We start from the raw sequence: 27,258 nt of genomic DNA, 5'->3' as shown, positions 1-27,258 counted from the left end.
TGTCCTGCCCCAACTCCCTGGAGTGCCCCTCTCTTATCCTTTACCTGCAAAATTCGTTCTTATTTCATTCAATCCTCACAAATTTGGGAAAGGGTGGATATTGTTAACCCTTTGTTATAGATAGGCAAACAAGCCAGAGCATTAAAGTAACTAGCCCCAGTTCAAACACCTAGTAATTGTCAGAGCTGCTATTAGATACCATGCTGTCCTTTAGTCCATTTTCTAGAGTTCAGTAGGCTGCTGCATTATTAGGGTGTGAATATTTTATTGTTTGGCTCTTATTTGTCTCTTCAATTTCTGCAGATTTCTCTTAGTCCCAAAGGAAACAAAACTAAGGTTTTGTAGTGCTGCTGCCACCCCTGACACCCTGAGGAGTCAGTGTTTCAGTTGCCAACCAGAGTTGAGTGGTCTTTTAAAAATGCAAATCTGTGTATGATATTTTTTTTTTAACTTTAAGTTCTGGGATGCATGTGCAGAACACACAGGTTTGTTACATAGGTATAATGTGCCATGGTGGTTTGCTGCACCCATCAACCCATCATCTACATTAGATATTTCTCCTAATGCTATCACTCCCCTGGTCCCCCACTCCCTGAAAGGCCTCAGTGTGTGATGTTCCCCTCCCTGTGCCCATGTGTTCTCATTGTTCAGCTCCCACTTATGAGTGAGAACATGAGGTGTTTGGTTTTCTGTTCCTGTGTTAGTTTGCTGAGAATGATGGTTTCCAGCTTCATCCATGTCCCTGCAAAGGACATGAACTCATCCTTTTTTATGACTGCATAGTATTCCATGGTGTATATGTGCCACATTTTCTTTATCCTGTCTGTCATTGATGGGCATTTAGGTTGGTTCCAAGTCTTTGCTATTGTGAACAGTGCTGCAATAAACATACGTTCGCATGTGTCTTTATAGTAGAATGATTTATAATCCTTTGGGTATATATCCAGTAATGGGGTTGCTGGCTTAAATGGTATTTCTGGTTCTAGGTCCTTGAGGAGTCGCCACATTGTCTTCCACAATGGTTGAACTAATTTACAGTCCCACCAACAGTGTAAAAGGATTCCTATTTCTCCACATTATCTCCAGCACCTGTTGTTCCTGACTTTTTAATGATCGCTATTCTAACTGGTGTGAGATGTTATCTCATTGTGGTTTTCATTTGCATTTCTCTAATGACCAGTGATGATGAGCTTTTTTCATATGTTTGTTGGCTGCATAAATGTCTTCAAGAAGTGTCTGTTCATATCCTTTGCCCACTTTTTGATGGGGTTTGTTTTTTTCTTATAAATTTACTTAAGTTCTTTGTAGATTCTAGATATTAGCCCTTTGTCAAATGGATAGATTGCAAACATTTTCTCCTATTCTGTAGGTTGCCTGTTCACTCTGATGAAAGTTTCTTTTGCTGTGCAGAAGCTCTTTGGTTTAATTAGATCCCATTTGTCAATTTTGGCTTTTTTTGCCATTGCTTTTGGTGTTTTAGTCATGAATTCACAAGCATCCCTATACATCAATAATAGACAAACAGAGAGCCAAATCATGAGTGAACTCCCATTCACAACAGCTACAAAGAGAATAAAATACCTAGGCATACAACTTACAAGGGATGTGAAGGACCTTTTCAAGGAGAACTACAAACCACTGCTCAAGGAAGTATGAGAGGACACAAACAAATGGAAAAACATTCCATGCCCATGGATAGGAAGAATCAATATCGTGAAAATGGCCACACTGCCCAAAGTAATGTATAGATTTAATGCTATCCCCATCAAGCTACCATTGACTTTCTTCACAGAATTAGAAAAAAACTACTTTAAATTTCATATGGAACCAAAAAAGAGCACATATAGCCAAGACAACCCTAAGCAAAAAGAACAAAGCTGGAGGCATCATACCACCCGACTTCAAACTGTACTACAAGGCTACAGTAACCAAAACAGGATGGTACTGGTACCAAAACAGATATATAGACCAACAGAACAGAACAGAGGCCTCAGAAATAACACCACACATCTACAACCATCTGATCTTGACAAACCTGACAAAAGCAAGCAATGGGGAAAGGATTTCCTATTTAATAAATGGTGTTGGGAAAACTGGCTAGCCATATGCAGAAAACAGAAACTGGACCCCTTCCTTACACCTTATACAAAAATTAACTCAAGATGGATTAAAGACTTAAACGTAAGACCTAAAACCATAAAAACCCTAGAAGAAAACCTAGGCAATACCATTCAGGACATAGGCTGTGCATGCTATTCTGATGTCACTACCTGTGCACTTGCCTGAATCCCCTTAATGGTCAGTTTCCCACTGTTCTTGAGAGGATCTTAAATTTCCCAAAAATGGTCTACCTGACTTCTTTGCAGGGTTTCCTGCCTATCTGTGTAGCCTCTCTCACACTATGCCCTGCTCACCTCTCCACACCTGCCATGCTGGCCTCCTTTCTATCCTTGGATCCACTATGCTCCCTCCTATCACATGGCCCTTGTCATGTTCTTCCTTCTGCCTGAAAGTTCTCCCCCCTCTTCTTGGTCAAGTTAACTCCTTTATCATCTTTCAGGTTTTGACTCAAATGTCACTTCTTTGGGGAGCCCACATTTAAACACCAGTGATCTGTAATTTAAAAGGCCAACCTTTTCCCACAAGCCATGTTGTCTCTTCTTTAAACACTCCGCATATAAACTGACAAAAGAAATCTAAAACATATCAAGAGTATCTGATTGAGATTGCCCTTAAAAAAATGAAGAAAATTGATTCTTATTATCTGGCGAGTCTGAGACTGGCCCCAGGCATCAGGCATTTCCTAACAATGACACCATGAAATAGCCCACTCTGAACATCACCATTCAATTTCCCCTATACGCCTTACACTTCTACTGTATCTCATATGACATGGAGCTTGGTACTGAATACTTAACAAAATTTTTAAGTATACTTATTATTGGTTGACTAATTGGCCAGTAAGTTTCACTTGGGACATCTTTTTTTGAAAACAGTTTGGCAGTTTCTCAAACAATTAAGCCTACAACTATTATATAACCCAGCAATGTCACTTCTGGACATTTATCCCAGAGAAATGAAGATTTATGTTCACATAATAACCTGTACAAAAATGTTTATAGCAGCTTTATTCATGATAGTCAAAACTTAGAAACTACCAAGATATCCTTCAACGAGTAAATGGCTAAACAAACTTTGGCACATCCATACCACAGAATATATCAAAAATAAAAAGAAACCAACCACATTGACACACACAGCAACCTGGAAGAATCTCCAGAGAAGTATGCCGAGGAAAAAAGCCAATCCTTAAAGGCTCTATGCTTTATGATTCATTTGTATAACATTCCTGAAATGACAAAACGACAGAAATGGAAAACAGACTAGTGGTTGCCAGGGTTTAGGGAAAGCATGGAGGTGGAGGGGAGTGATGTAGTGTAGTGGACAAAAGGGGAGATACTTGTGGTAAGGAAAACACTCTTTCTATCAATATTAATACCTTGGTTGTAATATTGTACTATAGCTTTTCAAGATGTTACCATTAGGGGAACTGGGTAAAAAGTACAAGAGATCTCTCTGCATTATTTCTTACAACTACATGTGACTCAACAGTTATTTCAATTAAAATTAAAGTTTGTTTTTTTAAAAGGGACACATTTAATAAAATGTTTGTAACACACTAAGGTGTTCACAAACACATAATAACTGTGATGCCACTAAATGTCTTCTCTCTTTTCTTTTCTCATGGTTTGTTTTTTATTTATTACTACTAAGGATTTTATTTTCCTCTACTTAAGACATACATAACGTTGATCACTTTCAGGCTATTTTCACAATGACAGAGAAATATATTATATTAGAATCCTTATTTTTTATGTCCCTTGGTTGCCTGTCATACATTACTCTGCATGTTTTTCATCCTGATCAAGATACAATTTATAGAACTGTTGGTTTGTACTTCAATCTCTGGCAGTACCATAACAACAAAGTATAATATTGCCTTTATCACTTCCCACGTAAGAAATGTTTTTGAAGTAGCACTGCTGCCATCTGCCACCTCAAATCTCCTTGTCCAGTTCTCAGGGTTCCCTGAGCTCAGTATTAGTATTATACTTCAATAGGTTGTCATTGTTTGGAAAACTTTGTTTTGACTGGCTGTTGTTCAAATTTTTCTTCGGTCCTTTTCATCTCTTCATCATTTATCTGTGAAAGTTTAATACATTCTGCTGGTATCACCCTTATTGGATTTCCACTCCATTTTCTGTTATCTTTGCCTAACACAGTTTATTTAGGTTTTGGCTTTTTTTCCCCAGTTATTGAAGTGGTTGTAAACATCCACATTGTGATAGAAATCCTTGCTCAGAGAGTCCATGACCACTTTGGAAGTGTTTACTGTAAACAGAGCAGCATCAGTACCGCATTTTATTCATTTTCATGCTTTAATGTAAAAATTCTTTTTGCTTTCTCTTTCAGTGAGTACAGAAAAAATCCAGGAACATATCACCAACCAGGTATTCTCTCATTTCTCGTAAACTCTAATATAGAATTTTGTTTCAATGTTAATAAACATGTGTAAATATAAAAAAGGCAGGGGGTAATGTTAGCTGTTAGTTATGAGCAATATATATGTTATTGGTTCTGGGGAAAAAAACATATTTGGTCATATGTAGATGACCATGCGCTTTCTTTGTCTCCTCCCAAGCCAAGTCCTTCCCAACCACATCCTATCCAAACAGGAAACAGTAGACTAATGAGACTCTGCCAGTTCTAACTTGCAAGTATCTCTGTGACCTTATTGTGACCTCTGTATTGATACTATCATGGCAGCAAATAGATACTTCCATCTACTTTTCCCTTAACTAAGGTGACTCTCCGTGATTTTCTCAGGTTTTCGTTCAATCAGCTAAAAGTCACTGCCTCCCAAACAGCTAAGAACTGGCCCCCTATATACCACAAGTTGATCTTCCATTCTGGTCTTTTGTTTCTACTCACAGTTGGCCAGCATCTTCCTGTCTGCATCATGGTTTTCTTATCCCATCTTCTTACTGATCTATTTTTGTATTTCTAGGTAGATGGTGTCCTTCTATAGAACTGTTTTAGGAGCTTGAGACCTGCAGCCACACAAACAAAGAGAGGCCTTCCCCAAAAGCATATCTTGCCCCACCCACCTAATTTTTCCCCAGGCCAGCTTAGCTACAGTTTCTCCAAACCCTGCCTGTGCCACTAGAGTCAGAGAATGCAGACATTGACCTGTGGAAAAATATGCTTGGGTTTCACCCATAGGTACACATTTCCATATCTTCCTTCTTTTTTCCTTTCAATGGCATAAATTACAGCTTACCCTTACCAAAGAGAAGGGTGGTAAATCTACACTTATACCAGTCAAAGGTGCATTTTTCAACCTTCTAAGTGCACTCCAAAAGAAATTCCAATTCTAGTTCCTATTGTCAGTCCATCCCAATAAAGTTCTAGTTTTACCCAATCTGTGCCAGATGCCCTGTAACTCATCAAGCTTTCAAAATAGTCAACCCATTTGGCTAATATACTATTTTTCAAATTCAGTAGCCAAAATTTAATCAGGTGCCATTTTGTTTTTAAATACTGTTGTACATGTTGACTTGTAGTAGCAACTCTCTTAATACTTGAAAATGCCATCATTGTGAAATAGCAAAATCATTTGGCCATTTCAAATAGTTCATTTGCCTTTTAAACTTAGTTTCTTTCTTTTTTTTTTAGACGGAGTCTCGCTCTGTCACCAGGCTGGAGTGCAGTGACACAATCTTGGCTCACTGCAACCTCCGCCTCCCAGGTTCAAGCAATTCTCCTGCCTCAGCCTCCCAAGTAGCTGAGACTACAGGCGTGTGCCACCATGCCCAACTAACTTTTGTATTTTTAGTAGAGACCAGGTTTCACCATGTTGGCCAGGATGGTCTTGATCTCTTGACCTCATGATCTGCCTGCCTCAGCCTCCCAAAGTGCTGGGATTACAGCTATGAGCCACCACGCCGGCCCTTAGTTTCTTTATTACTTCATTTAAAATTATTTGTATGTGCTCAAGTGGTTTGGTGAGGCTCAGCAATGGTTAGCCAGTAAAGTTTACTGCTGCTATTTTTATTTATTTAAATCATATAGGAATACTTTTCCTTATAAAAAGCCCTGTTTTCCTTATAAATGTAACAACCTACCTGTTTCCCTTATTAACTTAACAACCTAAAGCAATTGGTCAAAAAATATACTAAGGTCACTTCTCATGGGTAGATTTCCATTTCCTATTTTAGCTTCTTTTTACGTTTAGCAAAACTAACAAAATATGTAGACACCAAAATAGAATGCCAAATATTTACTCATAATCTTAAATATTGATCTGATGCCATATAAAATTATAATGGTTTTCAGTCTCAATAAGAGAGTGAAATTCTTTAGGATTTAACTGAAGAGGGAAAGGTCTTAATATTTTAATTTTACAGTCATTCTCAGAACAGATCGTCGTCTCCTTCAATCATTGCTTATATTTCTAATCCTACAGTGAAATTTCTATTCATTCTTCTCCCAAGTAAAGAAGTGCTCCCCACTCTCAAGAATGATACACTGGCAATACAATTCAAAAAGGTATCTTATACCTCTAATTTATATAAACTCTGGCAGAGAGTCAAGAAATAAAGTCACCTTCTTTTTCAAATCACTATGCCACCAAAATAATTTGGCTCTTGAAAAACATTTTTGAAAACCCACTTTAGATAATCCATACAGTATTTTTTATCAAAAAAAAAAGGCAAAATGGAGCGCTGCTGAGCATTAATCTTGCCGCTAAATCCTTCCCATTAGGCACTATGGATTGTGTAATTAAATTGAAATTGAAAATCGAGTCTTTTCTCCCCCCCACATCAGGCAGGCTATGAGTTTCTCACCAACGTGAGAAATCAGGAGTGGAGGGGAAGCTCTAGCCTGCTGGCCAATATCCAGCCTGTGCTTTTAGCCCACGGCTATTTTACCACACCTGAGCTCTGAGAACAAACAACTATTTGAGTCCTCTGGAGGGAACGCTGGATTCTTTCCTGTGCAATTCACTGGGGAAATTAGTATGCTTTTTAAAAGTAACTTGTTAACGCAGCTTGTTTACGAGAACAGGACAAAAATGAGCAGTGAACTGCTTGGCAGCCTCTGTTCTAGAATGGGATGAATGCATGACCCATTTTTTTTTTCAGCTGTCTCTTTGGCAGTTCAATGCTGCAATCATTTCCTATCTGAAAAATGTTACTTGTAGAGATGAAATCTTCTATAGGTTTTCTAAATAATTTTTATGATACTAGATGAAAGATAATACTTTAAAATATTACCAAAAATGCTTTCGAAATCAAATTAAAATATGGTCAGCATGAGAATGGGAAAACTAAATGTAAAAATCCTAATTTAATTTTTGGAAACTGCCTTATTATATAAAAGACAATTAAAACCTTTTATGTTTATGCCTTTTTATATAGCAGATAATTGAAACCCTTAGTGAATTAATACCTTGTGTTTGTGCAGCTAGATAACAAAGAGGAACACCGAATATGAGGCTCTGTTTCTGGTGCAGAGGATGTCTATGCTGTGGAGAACATTCATAGACAGGTGCTGTCTACGAGAAACGCTTGCCCTCACTGATGACCCAGTGCAGAGAGAGGCAACACCAGTGCAGGCCATTACAGCTCTGTATTCGGTCCCTAGGGCTGCCAAAACAAAGTACCATGAACAGGTGCCTTAAAACAACAGAAATGTATTGTCTCACATACAAAATACGGGGTCAGCAGGGCCATAGTCTCTCTGAAACCTGTAGGGAAGGATCCTTCCTTGCTCTTTTTAGCTTCTAGTGCTTGCCAGCAATCCTTGACATTCCTTGGCTTACAGCCACATCACTCCACTCTCTGCCCCTGTGGACACATGGCTGCCCTCCCTTTGTGTCCCTCCCCTTCTTATAAGGATCCCAGCCATCTTGGCTTAGGGCTTTCCCTCAATGACCTTCTCTTAACTTAATTGCAGTTGCAAAGACCCTATTATCAAACAAGGTTGTATTCTTAGGTACTAGGAGTTAGGACTTCAACATATCTGTTTGGGGGACATAATATGACCCATAACAAGCCGGAAACCTCAGAGTCATCCTCGACTCCATCACTCCCTCTGAGCACTGGGCACTTCTGATGGGATCTCCTGTTGACCTCTCCCAACCAGCTTCTCACCTCCACCCATAACCCCTGCTTCATCCAGGCCCTTGTCTCATTTGCTCGGTGATTTCCTGAGGCTCTCCTGTTAGCCTCACCACCTTTCTATTCATCTTCCATTCTCCTGCAGTTTGCTTTTTAAAATATCATCTTGCTGAGAAATAAAAACTAAGTAGAAAAACCTCCCCTATTGTTAACAGTGATTTTAACCCTGACTGGGCATTATAGTCACCCCTGAAACTTGTTAACACAGATCCTGAGACCCCATCTCCAATCCTAACCCCAAGACATTCTGGGTCAGTAGCTCTAGACTTGGGTTAAGACACAGCACAACCCTCAGACGAGACCAAGAAAGGTCACAGGCTTTAGGAGTCTCCAAGCATCACAAACACAGTCATGCAAAGACAGGTTTTTTTTTCTGAGTCTCATGTTTTAAAGTTTCATGACCAATTGAGAGCACACAAAACATGGAAAGGAACATAGCAGCTGAACTGGGTCATCTGGGCAAATGGGATAGACCAAAAAAAGAGTGAAATCCCCTTATTGAGAGAGGTCAGGCTGTGTGGGCCCTGTGAAATCAAAGAAAGAAGGGATGCTTTAGTTTCTGGATAGCCACCCAGTAGCCCCTGAAGTGGGAGGATATATAGGCAGACTGTGTTCCCCAGGTAACTGTACTTCTACCTTCCCCTCTGCTTGGGGAGGGGGTATGGAGTGGGTGAGTATAGTTTCACCTGGTGCTTAGAACCTCCTGGTAATCTGGAATCAGAAAAGTAAAACATGAGGTAGGAGAACCTTTTCCTTCAGTAACCAGAAGACCTGGACTGAGTCATTTCCATCCTTGATGGGGGCAGATGCAGGCCCTGCCCACGAGTCCCCAGGCTAAGTCCAGGGTCCGTCCTGTTTCCCCCGTGAAGTTCCAAGCAATGAATCAGGCCTCTAGTGCAGGATGGCCTTGAGGGACAGCAGGGCTTCTTAAGCCTCCTAGTCCCAAAGCAGTCCCTTGGATGGGAACAAGGACCAGGTCTTGGGTGCAGCTTCCTTTAACACTTTGAAATAGTTCGACATATAGTATGTGGACCTCCATTCATGCTCTTGCTCTAGGCCCCACAAATGTTGGGAATGATCCTGCTCAGACATTTGCAATTTCAAAAACTCAATATGTGATTCTGATGGAAAGCCATACAATACGTTTCTAACCTTGGAGTATGAAATACAAAGCCTTGGGATCTTGTACTCCTTTGGAGAGGATTCTCCCCACCTTCCTAGACTTATTTCCCATTCTACTCCTTTATATAAAACTGTTGGTTCTTTATAAAACTATTTCATCAACGTACTAATCCCCTTCTCTTCATGTACAAAATTTACTCATATAAGACCTAACTCAAATACTACCTTCTCCATGAAGCTTTCCTTTATCACATAGCCAAGAATAATCTCACTCTCTTCCATGACCCCATTTTATTTTCTCTGCCCTTTTGCTATAGATATTTTCTACCCTATATTCTAATCATTTATATCCCAACATGATTTTTGAAACTACCTAGTATTGCCCTAAAGGGAAGAGATTGTGTTTGGTTCATTTCCATGTCCAACGTTGGGCCTTGCATATCATAAGAACTCGATCAACTGCTGGCAGAATGTAAATTCTTCAGATCACTAAATTCTTATTCTAGTAGCTAGAGGGGCTGCTAAATTTAGAGTCTACTCCCTATACACCGGAATGTTCAAACCTGCTGTGTCATTGATTCTTATAAGGCAGGAACAAGGTATCCTTCCTTCCCCTCCCAGGTAAGGATTCTAAACCAAAAACAGAAGGAACAAGCCAAGACTGCACATGGTCATTATGAATAATGGTCACACAGTCAGGAAATGAAAGAATTGAAGGGCAGGGAGATCCAGATCTTCTTTTTACCTGTATGTCCATATCCATATTGCCTGCAGAACATTAAATGGTTTGCCTGGTTCAAGACTTGAGTACCTGATTCTTTCCTCTAATGTAAGCATGGCAGTGCCACTCACTGATGACTTTTCAGTGTAGTGTGAACTTTAGAACTTCTAAATTTAAAGTGGGATTGCATTACCTTGCACTATTCTTATCAAAATGGCCACGCACTCAAGGAGACAATTTTGACTTAAAGATAGTTTCTCTTTGCAAGTTTGGCACTAATGGAGCTAGTAAAGATCCCACATGTCCCTAATTCCCTTTTAAGATTACCTTCAGAATTGAGAGAGTTGCACTTTTAGAAAAGCTATCCAATTTACGAGTCTTTTTCAAAATCCTGAAAGAAGGACTGAAAGGATCGAAAAGTGGTGACACTAATGGTGGTTAACAAAGAAGAATTTATAAAAGATGTCTTTTTTAAAGGTCAGATGGCTTCTACCTAGAAAATACTTAAGTGTAAATGTCGAAGTGCTGGGCTTTGCCTCTTTAATTGGAAGCCAAGAAAGTTAAAATGTGAAGGGTACCTGTGGAAAGGTATCTAGATTGACAAGACAAAGCAAAGCTGAGAATATGGCCTTCAGATGTTTTAAAAGCATGACCACCAAGAAGAAAATAGTGGTTGGAATAAACACTGTGAGAACTATTCACAATCAAATATACAGACAGCTCTCATTCAAGCACTCAATGCTTCTGAATAATTGCCATCAATAATTGTGCTAATCACTCAGTGCTCCATATCTCATGTTTTGTTACAACAACCCTGTGAGGACCAGGATTTTAATCTCCACTTTATACAGGTGGAAACTCAGGCTTGAAATCAGATTTAGTAATTTTTCAGGTCCTGCCACATTTAGCACGACATTAGTAATAATAATGGTCGGTATTATTATTAAATGCTTGACAAGCTTTTTGTGTGTAGGCATTATGCTAAATTTTACATTAAATTATCTCTCTTAAACCTCACAACAGTGACCCTGCGAAGTAGGAACAAATCAAAAGATTCATCTTAGTGAGGCGAATTAGTTCGTCTAAAATCATGCATGCATAAGTGGTCATGCCAGGATTAAATAAGGCAATCCAATGCTATCTACAGTGTGAGCAACAGCCACTATTCTGGGATGCTTTAAATATCTTTCCTTAATGGCACTCCGCTGATGAGTGGCAGCCCTCAAATGTGAATCCAGGTGTATCTCATTCTGAATTCCTTTCTCTCCACAATTATACTACACTCCCACCTCTTCTGGAAGCTGTTCTATTAATTAAATGATCTCACTTATGACCACCCTAATTAATCCCCCAATTCTGACACCAATACTGAAGCAGTCTGTTCTGAGACCCTGGAATACAGATTTTTATGATGTGGTATGTCTTTTTTCAAAGTGTTTTAACCATGAAGATGAGCATACATATACTCCAGGGTCCCTGTTGAGCGGTAAATTACTTTTTTAATTAAGTAAGTGAAAAATAAAGTGAATCTGGTCTAAGAGAAAACTATTTGTCACCTGAAAAGAGATTAAAAACTCAGAGGGGAAAAAAGTATACATTGGCATAATCCGTTGCCCACTGCCAGTTTTCCTTGGCAGAGCCCAGGCAGAAATATCATGGAAATAAAAAGAGAATTTGAAGTAAAAACCTTCATTTTCACTCACTATAAAATGTTTTCTTTGTGTTTCTTAGAAAAGCATGTTACTTCTAAAAACTCTCTTACAAGTTCTTTATTGTTAGTAATAACAGTGTCATTGTGTATGTACCCATGTGAGAAAATATGGAATACTGAAACTCCGTACTGAAAATGTACCATTTATGAAAAATAAAAATAGTTAATTTACCATTTAATGTAAATTAGCATTAACCACACCACCTAAGATGCTAACACCCAATAGGCTGGTGAAATATATTCCATGAATAATTTTCTAGTCAATCTTTTTCTCATCTTTTTCCTCCTTTCTGTTGAGTTTTTCAAATCATAACCTTCTCTGCTTGCTAGCATCTGTACCAGAAGATGAACTGAGTAACTGAAATGTTTCAGCTTAGCATATTTTATTAGCAAAATGGTTAGCATCATCATTTGAGATTTTTCTCTCAACACATAGCAACGAAAGGCAGTAGCCAAGTTCTAATAGCCAAAAGCACAATTTAGTAGAGCCGTTCAGTATTGAGTAACTCATCACCTCCGTATAGAAAGACACTCACTTCATAGGTTAAAGCTATTGTCAATATGAGCCACAGAGCCCACTTGTCATCATGTTTGAATATGCATTCTAAAATACAGTATTTTTTGGAATATGTTTGAATATGCATTCTAAAATACAATGTTTTGTTTTTTTTTTGGCTACCTTTAAACCATTTTATCCATGCTATTCTTTCTTCTTGTGATAAAGAACTTGAATTAAGGACTCAAATGAAAACTTGATATTTTCTGGCGATATGCAAAAGAAGTATTCGAGTAGTCATCATCTCAGATAAAAGTTGCTTGGTAACATAAAAGAGTTATGTTTTAAGAAACAGTGATCGTGAATACCAGGCTAATTCTGTGGAATTCGTGTTGTATATATGGTCTACATCCCCTAAGGCAGATCCCTCAGATATCTATCTACGGACTTCTCTTAAATTTGATGCATCCTTTTGCGTATGTCTGCATTTTGCAGAGGTAATGTTCCTTGGTGCTCACCAGAACCTCTGGAGTGAATAAAGTCACCCTGGAGAGTTTTCTACCTCCCACTAGAGATAGAAAGTCACTAGGCATTCCTTTTATTATGCATAAATTGAAACCAATTTTATTTAAGCTTTATTTGACAAAGTAGCACTTGTTTTTCGCAGAAAACAAATTTCCGGGAAGGAGAAGAAATGCGGACAAATAGTGAAAATTCAGAGTACCAGTAAGGATCCAGTGAAAACTACCTTGTCCTTATTATCCTTAATGTTGAAAAAATTCTTATACACAGAAGTGTTATGTTATATTCTGTGGTCGATCATCAAACAAGGATGGAATAAACAAGATTCTTCCCTGTTTCATCACTGGTATATGCCTTGCTCAAAATGTATTAAAAGGAATATTTTTATCATTACTGGATAATGCAATTAGGCCAGTGTTCTGTGGATGTGGAATAATGTAATTTACTATGTTGAATGATTAGCCAATCAGAATTCTCTCATTTTCTAAAGCAGTGGATTGATTAAAATGTGACCATAAACAAAATAGATTTTATTAGGCATAATCTACTTTGTAAACAAATGAAATTAATTCTTTGCCTGACCTAAAGCTTTGAAAATGAAAAACCAAAATTGAACACATGCTTCCAATTTTGGTTCTGTTACTAAGATGACACTTAATATAAAAGTTACAATTTAACTTCCCCTCAAGTATTCCATACTTGAGACTAAATGACTCTTAGAAATATGTTCATCAACAGATGGGAGCCACTTATGGCCTCATAAACTCTAAAGCAAGTGAAATTATCTCAGCAAAATAGAAGGAGATTACAATAAAGCCTCATCTGGTTATCTTCAGTGATGATTAATGCATTGTACATTGGTTCAATGATGCAATGAATATTGACAGATAATCACCCTTCTTCATACAAGAGAAATACTGAAGATACAAATGCCAGTGATATATGCTTTTAATCAATCAATAAGCAATTTCCACATGTGCCCTGTGTACAGAACTTTGCTAAGTGCTATGCAGGATGTGAAAGAAAGTGCCAGCCGAGTTCCTACTCTAAAGGGATTTTCTATCTTGAAAGAGAAAACTAAAAACCTGAAACACTGCACAGAATAGCAGAGGGTGTGTTATTCCTTGCTTGCTTATTAATGATACAGTATGGATCATATGGGAGTTTGAAACAGCCAACCATCAGTGAAAACTACAGTGTTCAGGGAAGGATCGTGGAAGGCTTTAAAAACCGAAGTGATGTAGACTTGATTCAGCAGGAAACACAATGTGGTGACACTGAAAATGTTCGAGTTCAGAAATTACCTCAGGAAATTGGTATGAAATTTTTCCTGAAATTGTATCCTGTATTTTCCTTTTTGCTCCCTCTCCACTGGTACCAGCCACCAGTCTCTCTCCAGGATCTTCGGGTTTCCTCCTGCTTCCACTCTTAAGAGGCCCAAGTCTGTTTGCCACTTGGCTGGCAGAGTACGCTTTAGAAAATGTAAACTACGGCCGGGCGCGGTGGCTCACGCCTGTAATCCCAGCACTTTGGGAGGCGGGGGCGGGCGGATCACAAGGTCAGGAAATCGAGACCATCCTGACTAACATGGTGAAACCCCATCTCTACTAAAAATACAAAAAATTAGCCGGGCGTGGTTGCGGGCGCCTGTAGTCCCAGCTACTCGGGAGGCTGAGGCAGGAGAATGGCGTGAACCCGGGAGGCGGAGCTTGCAGTGAGCCGAGATCGCGCCGCTGCACTCCAGCCTGGGGGACAGAGCAAGACTCCGTTTCAAAAAAAAAAAAAAAGAAAGAAAGAAAATGTAAATTACTTCTGTACCTGTCTAAAACTCCCCATGGCTTATACTGCACCCCTGTAAAATCCAAAGCCCTGACCATGATCTGATATTCCTATACGGTGTGGTCCCGACCTCCTCTTTCATCCCATCTTGGGCCGTTCGCACTCACAGGGCAACCACAACAGCCTTGCCCTCTGTCCTTCCACCTGGCCAGGCCCATTCACGTGTGATGGCCTTTGCACCCACTGGCCATGTTCAAAACGCTCTGCTTCCAGCCCTTGGGTTCCTTGTTGTCATTAAGATCTCAGCCCTAGTAGCTTCTCCTCAGAGAGATCTTCCTTGGACATCTATTTAACGTAACCTTCCCACTCTCCCTCTGACATCTTCTATTGCATTACTGTTTTAGTGTTTGCATCATACTTGGCACCACCTAAATTTTTTGTCTGTCCAATTTTTTCCTTGTTTGTTATCTATCTTCATCCATATAAATGTGAGTACCTTGAGAACAGAGACTTGTCAGAGTCGTTTGCCCCCTAGCCCCAACACCAGAAAATAATGCACATAGTAGGTGCTCAGTAAATACTTCTTGGGTGAACGTGTTGCTTATTAATTCTTCCAGCTGAGGTAATAATCTGGACATGAAAACAAAATGTGTTTAAGCAAAATCTTGATCATGGGAATGAACATTTCAAGGGGAAAATGAATGGAGTTTGGTGTCTAAATATAGGAAAGGAATGAGCAATCTAAGACAAGCTTAGCGCGAGGTTCTCACGGTTGCTGCAGAAAGGTGATACTCGGCAAAAATATAAAGGTTGTGGTTAAAAGCCACATTCAGTGAGTATACACTACATGTCAGGCATTACATATTTTTCAGAACCCCATTGGGTGGGCATCATTATCTCTTACAGATAAGAGATTGATTCAGTGACCCCAAGTTTTTCAGCTGGGTATCCTATTCAAGTGATTGAGGTTGACTTGGTTAAAAGTACTAATTTAAGATCAACTTACAGTTGCAAGCATGGATGGGGGTAAAAATGTACTAAGTCTGGTCTTCAGAGCTACCTCTCCCCCATTTCCCAAGTTACTGGGCTGAACTGGATGTGGGATATGCATCTCACAACCTACGTTGGCTCACAGGTTCTTTTGCAAATTGGTCTATGCACGTGTAGATTCCTCCAGGTGTCCTCCTCATTCTGAAACAGTTCAGGGCGGGCAACTGGAAATACCTTGAAGAAGACGCTGAAGAGAAAAGTGCCTGGATAAAGGTAGGGGAACCAGATTAATAGAGCAGAATGACACCTGTTATTTTGGAGACAACCACCTGAAGGGTGATAAAACCCCAGAGAAAATAACTGAAATGCAATACATGAATGCTTTGCTTCCATCGTTTTGAACATCCATCTGATAAGTTACTACCTAGAATATGGAAACTTGACTTTGCTAAAAAAGAGTTCTATAAGAGAAGCCCAGAGAAGACAATGCTACTGATGGATCTGGGGAGTTGAAGATACTGCAACTGAACACTCAGGTGGTCTCTTACTGGTGGCAGGAAATAAATGTTCTTCTTCAATGTAGAAATCACCATGGAGATGGCATTATAGAGCTAGCATCTCAGTGATAAAAAGCCATGGGGACCAGGTTCCTTGGTCCCTGGGAGTTTATCAGGGGTTGAAAGGTACTTCAGCTTGCCCCCCTTCACCCCTGATCCAGCTAACACACACAGCTCCACAAGTGCTGGCTTGTTCTCCCAGATTTTTTGCAGCTGTGGAAGTGCCAAGATTTAAAATAAATTTTCTTGAAAAAAAACAACATTGATGGAGTGAAGATATTATTACTCCATAACCACCAAGTCTCAGTATATGTGTTTCTAACAGTAGTGTGGAGGCAGAAGTGAAGATAAAGATCCCATGAAGATAAGGAGATTTGTTGCAAGGCTGACATAAAAGCTGAGCAGATGATCACAATCTCTGTGTGGTTTATGCTACCTGAGGAGAGACCCAAAGTCCAGGCAGTGCTGACTTATATCATTGTTGTCCAGGAGCAAGAGCCTAGTACTTTGGTCATTCCAACAATGATGTTCAGTAGAGCTTCTTGGTACCCAACATATATTATTTTAAACTGGAGAGCTGAAGCAACCAAAGGTGGGATGATGTCCTCATTCATTCTAACTAGAGTTGACTCCGGCACATTTGGCTACCTCAAGGTAACTCGGTACAAAGGATTGTATTCATTTGGATCTGATAGCAAGGAAACACTCCTATAGTTACAGATGTGATGTCACCGAGAGGAAAGCATGGGTTAGGTAGTGAGAGACATACCATTTTGGAGCTGGACAAGACTGGATTTTAATCCCACCTCCAGCAATTAATTGCCCATTATAAAATGCTGAGTAAGTTTAATAAAAATATGATCTCAACCACCTGTCAGAGCCAGAGTGAGGATTAAATTCAATTATTTTGTGCAGCATCTGGTGCATGTGAAGCCCTCAGTCCATACTCATTCAAAGCTCACTCTTACCACACAGCCTCTCCCTCCAGCCTTGCTTCAGGAGGTCTCCTGTAACTGAAGGAGAGTGGAGCCCTGGCAGGAGTGGAGACAAACAAATGGACTTTCCTTGCCCGTTGAAATAAAGACAACCCTCTTTGCTCAGGAGGAAGCAGGCTCCAGGGACTTGGGGATCTCAAAATATGGTCATGAGTCACAGGTGAGACAAGAGGGTCTTCCCACAGGTCTGTGAATTAATCCAGAAGGGCAAGTCTTTTCTTTGGTTTTTACAGATGAATGGTACCCAAATCCATACACTTTCAACTTGCTACAGTACTGGCTATAGGTGAGTTACTATTGGCCTAAAATGATGGAAGGCCCTAGGAAAATTCCTTGTGTGGCACTTGAGACTTCCTTACCCCTTCAGTGGACAGTCGTTATCCCTTGTGTGGGGAGTAGATGGAGTTAATAAGCTGTGATACTATTTCTGGGCAAGGTGCAATAAGACGTGTTTGTTCCTCCCAAGGTGCAGATTACAGAATTGTAGTGAGGGAAGGGGGTAATGATACAGCATCTAAGGAATGTGTAGAGAGTTATACTTGCCTGCTTTATGATATGTGTATCTCTAGAGAAGACTAGGTAGAAGCCTGTCCATCAACATCTCAATGTAAAAGAGCATTGCAGTTGGATGCATCAACAATCCCCTTCCAGGTCCCTGCAGCTATTGTGGTTAGCATTGCTGTTCCCATGGCTCAAGTGGCTTTGGACTAGTAGGTAATGGGTGGGGGCAGAAACAGCTCCCCTCTCCTCCCCCACCCCACCCCACCCCACCCCATGTATATTCTGCTTCCTGAGACTTGGGCTATGCCTACAGGAAGTAACAGAAAGGGTTGGTGTGCCCCCAGCTCCCTCCCCTCTGCCAACTGCACATTGCACTTACTGAGGCTGGGCTGCTGGTGGCAGGTGCCCCTCTGCGATCCTCCCATGGCCAGAGGAACTCATTCTACACCAGCTCTTGGGAGTAAAGTTGTACAGATACTGAAGACTTCCATCCTCAGGCCAAAAGGTCAGGATCAGTGCAACCTATACTTGCCCTCACAAAGAAAGGGAACAAAAGGAGAGGCTGTGGCCATGGCTGCCTCCAGTACCCATTTAATTGATATCTTGAATCAAGTACAACTGTTTTTAGGAGAGGTAACCCATTTTGGAAACCCCAAAAAGCTGCAAAACTTAGAGTTAATGAAATAATATTCTAAAAAATAAAGATGATAAAATGTATCTGAATGCATGCATACATAGACCTTGCAAATATCCATTTGATGCTCGCTTAGTTTTGTTAGTGCTCTATTCACTCTGACCTCATCATATGACAACCCACTTGACTCCTGTCTTCCCTTCTGTCCTTCTGCTTTGCTGCTAGTGTAATTCTATATTCTTCCTTTGCATTCTTTCTCAGAATGAAATCCTGAAAAGAAACCCCACTCAGCATGGACTCAGAATCCCCATGGCATGATCTGATACCACAGGCAATCTCTCTTCCTAACTCAGGGCCCAGGTAACACATGGTAGCACCAGAGTGTGAGCTGCCTGCTCTCCAGTGAGGGTTAGAGCAGGCTTTGGGGAGCTGTCTTAAGTATAGCTGAGTTGTCAAATATGCAAGTGACATAAGCCAGAGGGGCGTGTGTTTCACTCAAAGGTGCTGACACAGGCCAATCTGATCTGGGACCAGTAGATGCTTAATCCAGTGAGACGAATGGAGTGCATTCCTGCCAGTGCCCCTACTACTCTCGCACATGGCAATGCTGCTCCCAGGACTCAGGTGGCTTTGGACTAGTAGGCATTGGCATGTTGGGCAGGGTTGGGGGCAGGTATATGCTGCTTCCTGGAAAAGGAGTGTCACTTACGTCATAGCCCCCAGCTTCACCTTATCTTGACTCAGATGCCCTCTCAGACTCCTATTCTGCTACTTTTGTGCCTCCTCTTCTCTCTTCATCTCTCTCTCTCTCTCCTCCTACCCCGTAATAACTGGCCACTCTCCATATTTTCCAGTCTACAGCCCAAAAGGGAGATGGACACATTGATTTAGCTAGTTACTCTCTACCCACTTGGACAGTGTCTTTTGCTCCAGGTCCCCTCATTGGTTGCTCACTGGCCTATGGATACTATTAATTGAATTAGCATCCACCTCTGTCAACTGCTTATGCACACAGGGACTGTTCCCATGGTCATCTTAATCTGAAGTTGGGAAAGCAGCGTTATAGATGATATGCCCGGTATTTAAAGAAAATCAGAGAAGAAAGGCATAGAGACAGGATGCATTCACATTTTGGAGAAACCTACTATATGGCAGACACTATATGTCAGGTACTGTACTAGGTACTTTATAACTGCATTTATCTAGTTAATTCTCTAAAAGACTTACCTTTTCCCAGTATCAGAGTTTGAGAATCAGAGGGCTGATATTTTGGCATGGCTCTTGGTTAAAGGGTCCAAAGAGACCTCCTGCCCAAAGTTAGGATTGCCTTCTCTGAGCAACAGAATTCCCACAGATCTATATAGTCTTAGCTGAACAGGATTAGGGTTCCATCTAGTTGTAGGGTGTTCCTTTTCTCAGCCTTGTTTGTGTGCATAGACACAAACATACACCATGGACACTTCCAAAGGAAGAGTGAGTATAGGAAGACAGAATTGAGACCTCTTACTATGGTAAGACAGAGTGTTTGGGGTCCTGGATCCCAGCCAATGCCTTCACTTACATTTCAACGTTTCCAAAATAGTTCTTGGAATTCCCACTTTAAAAATGAGGAAACAGACTCAGGAATGTTAATGGACTCTCTGTAAGAGTGCTAGCTGTGCCTTCCCATATTTATTCATCTCTTAACATTCTTTTGCACTCCAGCCAGACTTCCAACCAACTACCCACACCTGTGACTCTGCCTGAGTGAGTCCACCCTGCCCGCCTGTAGAGCAGACTGGAATTGCCAGAACTCGCCCTGCAGAAACCTTTAACCACAGCTGATAGGATTGTGTGGAATAACTCTGGGGAGATATGCTCTACATTTGTTCTGAGGGCTCCTCAGTAGAATTCAGCTCCTATTCCCACTGTGCTAACTTGCTCAATAATCCACCCTATATTCTGTGCCTTTCCTTTCTCAGTTCCCTACTCTCCTGCCAGTGTTTCCTGGAATCAACACTAAATTAATAACTTGTTCTCAACCCTTGACTTAAGGTCTGATTCTAGGGAGCCACAAATGATGACATTGTCCTAAAATCACCCAATTAATAGGTGGAAGACCTAGGCAATCTGACGCAAAAGCTAATGCTCTTCATACTTTGAAGATCTATCCAGCCACCATGCTCCTGACCTCACAACAACTTTCTTCTTTCTTGTACTTCCAGTCTCCATCTCAGGGGAGCATTCCAACTCCCGTCACCAGGGATGACCCATGTCTCTGGCCCCCTGGTGCACTCAAGCCAATCCCCTTTTCCAGTGTCATCTTATGGACTCATCCCCCTTGCCTGTGTGTGGGGAAAAGAAAGAGAAGTCAGACTGTTACTGTGTCTATGTAGAAAGAAGTAGACATAAGAGACTCCATTTTGCTCTGTACTAAGAAAAATTCTTCTGCCTTGAGATGCTGTTTATCTGTAACCCTACCCCCAACCCTGTGCTCCCCGAAACAAGTGCTGTGTCGACTCAACGTTTAATGGATTTAGGGCTATGCAGGATGTGCTTTGTTAAACAAATGCTTGAAGGCAGCGTGCTGTTAAAAGTCATCACCACTCCCTAATCTCAAGTACCCAGGGAAATAAAACACCACGGAAGGCGGCAGGGACCTCTGCCTAGGAAAGCCAGGTATTGTCCGAGGTTTCTCCCCATGTGATAGTCTGAAATGTGGCCTTGTGGGAAGGGAAAGACCTGATCGTCCCCCAGCCTGACACCCATAAATGGTCTGTGCTGAGGAGGATTAGTAAAAGAGGAAGGCCTCTTTGCAGTTGAGATAAGAGGAAGGCATCTGTCTCCTGCTCATCCCTGTCATCCCTGAGCAATGGAATGTCTCGGTGTAAAACCCTATGGTATATTCCATCTACTGAGACAGGAGAAAACCACCTTAGGACTGGAGTTGAGACATGCTGGTGGCAATACTGCTCTTTAATGCATTGAGATGTTTATGTATATGCACATCAAAGCACAGCACCTTTTTCTTTACCTTGTTTATGATACAGAGACATTTGTTCACATGTTTTCCTGCTGACCCTCTCCCCACTGTTACCCTATTGTCCTGCCACATCCCCCTCTCAGAGATGGTAGAGATAATAATCAATAAATACTGAGGGAACTCAGAGACCATATGCTGAGCGCGGATCCCCTGGGCCCACTTTTCTTTCTCTATACTTTGTCTCTGTATCTCTTTCTTTTCTCAGTCTCTCGTACCCCCGCCCCCCGACGAGAAACGCCCACAGGTGTGGAGGGGAAGACCTCCCCTTCACCTGTGAAAATCTTTTTCTTGCCAATCCATGGCCATAACACACACACATAAAAAGAAAACTTGACATTTTGAAATTGCAACACAAGACAGCTGGTTCCTTCCTCTTCACCACATTCCAGAGAACAAGAAGAAGAACTCTGTCTAGCAACTGTATACTTTAGAACAAGGTGTCAGAGTCAGGGTGCACCCCTCCATTGCTCCTCCAAACCCTCTTGGACACACACATTGTTGTTGGCATTAACCTGAAATGCAAGGGGAGGGGAGGCTGGCTGACCAATACTAATTTCAGACAACTAAATACACGGAAATATTAAAGAGCCATATCCCAAATCCATTAGATATCTAAAATCCAATGAAATGTTTAAATCCTAATAGTGAAAACACCAACTTATTCTACTTCTTTCCTGCCAAATATAATTTATTGGGTTTTGCTGTTCCCATCCACATTTAATATGTACAGACACAAACCTAAGAAATAAAATAGGGCCAAACATTTTGAATGTATTTCATTTATCAAGTTGCAGCTCCTCATTAAGGCTTTGAGTTTCTTTAAAAAAACAAGATATTCTGCTAACTAATGTTTACTGGGTTAGAATTAGAGAACTGGACTACATTCCTGACTTCTCCATTCATTTTCTAGAGTGACCTTGTGCAAGTTATTACACAAGTCTGTCTTGATTTATTTATCTGTAAATTTGCAAACAAAAGAGTCATCTCATTTTTCCTACAAAACTTGGAAGGAAGATAGAATGATAAATCTATAAAAGCATATTGAACCCCTTGGGGAGTAGCCTTATCTACTTATATACATTAAGGTTATGTCAGTTTTCCGCTTCTGATGGTCTTGTCAAACCAGAGCACTGTTTCCAATAGAAACTTCTCCTTGACATTCACATTATGTTATGTCCTCAGTCCTCATATTTTAAGCTTGTTTGGCTTCAAGCAGAAAAAAAATAGGAATTAAATCCAAAAATGGAAAGAACTGGCAAATAAAACCATAGTTTCAATCCTTGAATCCAAGAGGACCATAGAAATTAGCTTTTTGGATCAACTTGAATAGCCTCACAACAGAAACAGCTGGTTTGTGTTGAAGCAGTTTAAATATTTTAAAGCTCATAGCTTGGAGAAGACTGTAATTCAGTAGTTTCTCTCTTTACCCACTCTCTTCAAGTGTTCACTGTTCCTCCCTGTTACCCATAATTGTGATTTCTTTTCTTCTGTTTTCTTTCTTTGCCTTTGCCTCCACTTAATTTTATCTTTTCTCTTTCCCATTTCTGTCTCTCAAGTGTCTTATCCTTCTCTTTTTTTCTCACTCATTTTTATTGCCATTGAACATTTAACTTTGCTACATGTTGTGAGAGAGAAGGAAGAGGAGAAAGAGATGAAAAAAGCAGAATAAAAAACAAATACTTACCTAAAAACTGCTTATCATATAGAAATTGCTCAAAAATATTCAGCGCCTAAATCAATAAAAAAATCTAATATTTATGGAGAACATATTTACATTAAGGAATCTCTACAGGCATTTCCTATAATCCAACAAGGTAGATGTTGTTATTATCTTCATTTTCCAGATAAGGAAACTGAAGCTCAGAAAAACAAAATAAGATAACCGAGGTCACCCAGAGAGAAAACGATAGAAGAAGACACATAACCAGTTCTGTCTGACTCAAAAATCCATGTTCTTAACGACCATTATCTCTTGTAACAGGCATATGCCTGGTGCTTTCCTGACATCAGTTCATTTAATGGACATTAAACAAGAAATAGATTGCTTGATATATGATGCAGCTGAAAAAAGCCAGGCATGACTAAGACAGAGATTTGAGACACCAGCTCCAGCAATAGCTGTGTTAACTTGGCACATTATTTAAATTCTCTGAGCTCAGGTTCTTAATCTGTAAAATGAGCTTATCTGCATCTACTCTTCTGTTTGATGCAGTGATTAAACCAGCTTGCTCCATGCCCCCTAGTCTATTAACTAGGCAAACAAAATGGAGAAGAATATTCAAGAGAGAGGAAATAAGTCACAGAGACAGGAAATGGAAATGATTCTGCCTGGCTCATAGTTTCTCCCAGATACCCTCCCTCACCTGCGAGCCAGGATTCCTCTTTCATGTTTTCCTGTGCCAAATTTTTTTTTGTCCTTTAATGCACCAAGTTTTTTCTCCATCTCATTACCTCCCATAAGTATAACTTTGGTTTTCTTATTTGTATCTCCCTACCCCACCCTGACCACAAGGATGCTCCGTAAGATCAGGGACCAAGTCTGTCTTGCTAGCTATACCACCAACGCACAGCCCAGTACCTGGAGCACAGTTTGTGCTCAGAAAACACGTGTTTAATGAATAACTGAAGGTGGAAGGGCAAAGGGTGAGGATGGAGAGCGAGATGGGGCAGATGGCACTGGATATTAGGACTCCGTACTCACATTCTTCCCAATTGTCCTCAGGGTCTGTTGGAAATGCAGTCGCAGTCTTCACCCCTCTCATAACTATGCCATCAGCTTCTGAAGCCCTGGAATCAAGATTTAAGAGGAGTAGCTGTGGCACAGAGGGACCCAGGAGAGACACACTGACCTGTGTCCCCAGAAAAGACTGACTTTTGAGCACCCCACCCTCTCCCATCATTTATCTTATCAATGACTGGAGACAATTAGGTCTCCTTGATGGTGTGAAGAAATATAACTGCACTTCTATCTAGATTCAAGGTAAATCACAAAAGATACATTATTAAGAGTAATATTATAAATTACTCCCTGGGCAGTGCCTTCAAGGCCCATGAATCCAGCTGCACCTCCACCAGCCAACAACTCCTGAATCTATACCCAGCTTTTCAGTCCTGCTATCTACCTCCAGCTCTCTAAGGCACCTTAAACTCAAGAGGTCTGAAATCGAAGATAGTGAATGCCCACACCCACCCCAGGGCCCCCATAAAAACTGCTACTTCTATTTCTTCTCTCAGAGAGGAAATGGGGAGCCATTCTTTACACTTCTGTCACCCTTATGCTTCGAATCTGAGCAGTTTCCTAAGTTTGTCTCAACTCCCTTTTTCTTCATTCTTACCCCATTGTCTTAGTTCCTCTCCTAAGGATTCCTGATGGACAATCATAATCATCTTCCAGAAGATCCCTCTGCCCCCAGGCACACCTCCCCACTGCCCCAGAATGTTTTAAATCGTGAATCTTGTCACGACCTTATTGAAAATCCCCATCATATATATGGTAAAGTCTGACTGTTTATATCAGCCCAGGCCCTCCTGGAATGACACCCAACCCCTCCTGCCTCTCCCTGTCATCTGAGTCTGGCCCCCAAGCAGACTCGATGTCAGGATGTACAGCCCTTGCCATCTCTGGCTTGTCCACCTGGTAGCTCCTCAGTCATCTTCCCAGGCTCATCTCAGGCATCACCTCCCTTGTGAAATTTGCCCCCAAAAATCTCTCCAGAAAAATTAAGCACTTTTTTCTTTGTTTTCCAAATACCTGACCTATCCTTTTATTATAGCAATTGTCACATTTTTTCATAAACTGCTTATTTTCATCAGATCAATTAAACTTTGGTTTCCTTGAAGGGCCACAAATTTTATCTATCTCATCCTTATTTATATAATGCTTAAAACAACATACAGTAGTAATTCCATATATGTGCATTGATGAAAGAATGATCAAAGTCTCAAGTTTTATAGTTTCCATAGGATCCACAATAGTATATAAGGTCCTACAAATGTACAACACTTATCAACAGTATAAAACCAATGTGAATTTGTTGCCTGAATAAGGAGCAGTGCAGGAATGATATTCTTTGCTTCAATCAAATTCAAACATATGTTATTAATGCAAGATAGTGTTCTTGATGCTAGTGGGGGTTATATAGATTTAAAAGAGTGCACACTGACATTTAATGAAATTAAAATAGAGAGATCATTACCTAAACAATTAACCCTAACAACTACCTAGAATAAAATAAAACACAATAAACAGAGGACTTAACACTCAAACTGGGCCAGTCTTTTCTTTGTATCCTGGACCCCCATTTCTGCTCTCCCAGCTTCCAATAGTATCTTGCTGGAGCCTTTGCCACTATGGTAATAGATTAATTAATTGTGCAGTTATTTGCTTAATATACTTTTCCCTATGAGAATACCAACTGTATATGAATAAAGTCCGCACTTGTCTTATAAACCCCACCATCTCTGGCATCCAGCACAGAACCTGATGTATAGGAGGTGCTCAACAACTTTGACGGGGAGAAAGAAAGTATAATTCATATCAGTGTTGAGGATCGATAAGAATTCACAGAGGAGATATGCTTGATACAGAAACCCTTAAAAATAACAAGAATTGGCCAGGCGCAGGGGCTCATGCCTGTAATCCCAGCAGTTTGGGAGGCCGAGGCGGCTGGATCACCTGAGGTCAGGAGCTTGAGACCAGCCTGGCCAACATGGTGAGACCCCGTCTCTACTAAAAATACAAAAATTAGCCGGGTGTGGTGGCATGCGCCTGTAATCCCAGCTACCCAGGAGGCTGAGGCAGAAGAATTGCTGGAACCCAGGAGGCAGAGGCTGCAGTAAGCCAAGATCATGCCATTGCACTCCAGCCTGGGCAACAGAACAAGATTCCATCTCAAAATAAATAAATAAATAAATAAAAATAACAAGAATTAGGCTTTCAAGTTTATTGCAGACTTAATGAACATTCCACACATTTTTCCATATTTTTTTTAGATACTCATTTTTTTAAATCTGTAGTTACATGTCTTTCAGCTAACTCTGCAATATCTACTCTTTAAGGATATTTATGGAAAACTATAGCTTTCCTCCATAGCTTACAATTTAGCTGCAGTTAAAAGAGTTTTTCCAACAAAACAATCAAATAACTGTGGAAGCTGGAATAAAATTACTTTCCTCACAGGAAGTACAGACTAAGTGCTATAGTCATTTCAAAGGGAGTAGAATCACTCACTGGAGACCTGGGTGGTTGTCATGGAGAAAGTAGGATTTTTACATCAAACTAGAAGATTTTGAACGTCCCAAGAAAGGAGGAGACCATGAGTTGGGGCTGCCAAGAGCCCAGATAAAAGCAAGTGGAGGACAGGGCATGTGTTAAGAGAGAAGCAAAAAAAGCAAAAGGAGAAGAGGCTCAGCAGCACCAGGCTGCAAATGCCAGCAAAGGAATGGGGACGTTCACTGATACTAGAGGATCCAGTTCAAAATGTTAAGAAATAAAAAACAAAATGTTTGGGGAAGAATAATTTAGTAATAATTGCAGGGACACTAATTAGGAGGATAATGAATATCCAATTGGGGGTAATTAATTTAGAAAGATACAAAAAAAGAAGTATTATGAGATGTAAAATAGCCAATTTACTTTCCCATTGTTAAAGCATCTCTCAGATTTTGTGAGTGGGTGACAGGAAAGTAATAGGACCTTTTCAAAAACGGAAAATAACACAGGGGGAGCCACTCTTGAAGGCAACAGGATAATTTTGGCTTTATATACATGTTTGCCTCAGGGACAATCAGAATAAAGTGTCCCAAGGAAAATGGAGATGTAAGATTTTACTCTTTTATTATTGTTGTGAAGATGATGATGATGATGATGATGATGGGACTTTGTTGGTATGAGCTTTAAATTTGAAATGTCATTAGCTATGATTTTAGTAATGCAAACCCCTTAGTCATGGAGTCTTTGCTGTGA

General features: G+C 40.4%; 1 protein-coding gene and 1 long non-coding RNA gene across 7 annotated transcripts in view, besides 1 other annotated feature; one reads left to right on the top strand and one right to left on the bottom strand.

The window, feature by feature from the left end:
* Positions 1 to 27,258, top strand: part of CHST9 (carbohydrate sulfotransferase 9) — a 278,828-nt gene that overhangs the window by 236,469 nt on the left and 15,101 nt on the right. For 3 of the 6 annotated variants that reach the window (NM_031422.6, NM_001398493.1, XM_047437881.1), the window contains one exon: positions 4,474 to 4,511. The exons of 1 other annotated variant lie outside the window; for it this stretch is intronic. In NM_031422.6, coding sequence (NP_113610.2) covers positions 4,474 to 4,511 — 38 coding nt within the window. Of the gene's footprint in view, positions 1 to 4,473; positions 4,512 to 12,960; positions 13,038 to 24,052; positions 24,274 to 27,258 lie in introns of those variants that run through there. 2 more of the 6 variants (XM_006722555.5, XM_005258362.5) reach the window with 2 other exon arrangements.
* AQP4-AS1 (AQP4 antisense RNA 1) overlaps positions 12,894 to 27,258 on the bottom strand; it is a 70,639-nt gene continuing 56,274 nt past the window's right edge. The window contains exons 3-8 of the long non-coding RNA NR_026908.1: positions 23,995 to 24,080; positions 22,978 to 23,023; positions 18,017 to 18,170; positions 15,718 to 15,847; positions 15,091 to 15,224; positions 12,894 to 14,560 (exon numbers count right to left, since the gene is read on the bottom strand). This is a non-coding gene — a long non-coding RNA (AQP4 antisense RNA 1). The remainder of the gene's footprint in view (positions 14,561 to 15,090; positions 15,225 to 15,717; positions 15,848 to 18,016; positions 18,171 to 22,977; positions 23,024 to 23,994; positions 24,081 to 27,258) is intronic.
* Positions 20,521 to 21,132: an enhancer, noted in NCBI's record as "OCT4-NANOG hESC enhancer chr18:24507672-24508283 (GRCh37/hg19 assembly coordinates)". NCBI's record gives its function as "activates a minimal SCP1, AML or CMV promoter by ChIP-STARR-seq in primed H9 embryonic stem cells {active_cell/tissue: H9 hESC(primed)}" and the evidence as "EXISTENCE:reporter gene assay evidence [ECO:0000049][PMID:30033119]".

Source organism: Homo sapiens, chromosome 18, assembly GCF_000001405.40.
Source record: "Homo sapiens chromosome 18, GRCh38.p14 Primary Assembly".
Classification (NCBI taxonomy): Eukaryota; Metazoa; Chordata; class Mammalia; order Primates; family Hominidae; genus Homo; species Homo sapiens.
This window is presented reverse-complemented; position numbering and strand designations above follow the sequence as displayed.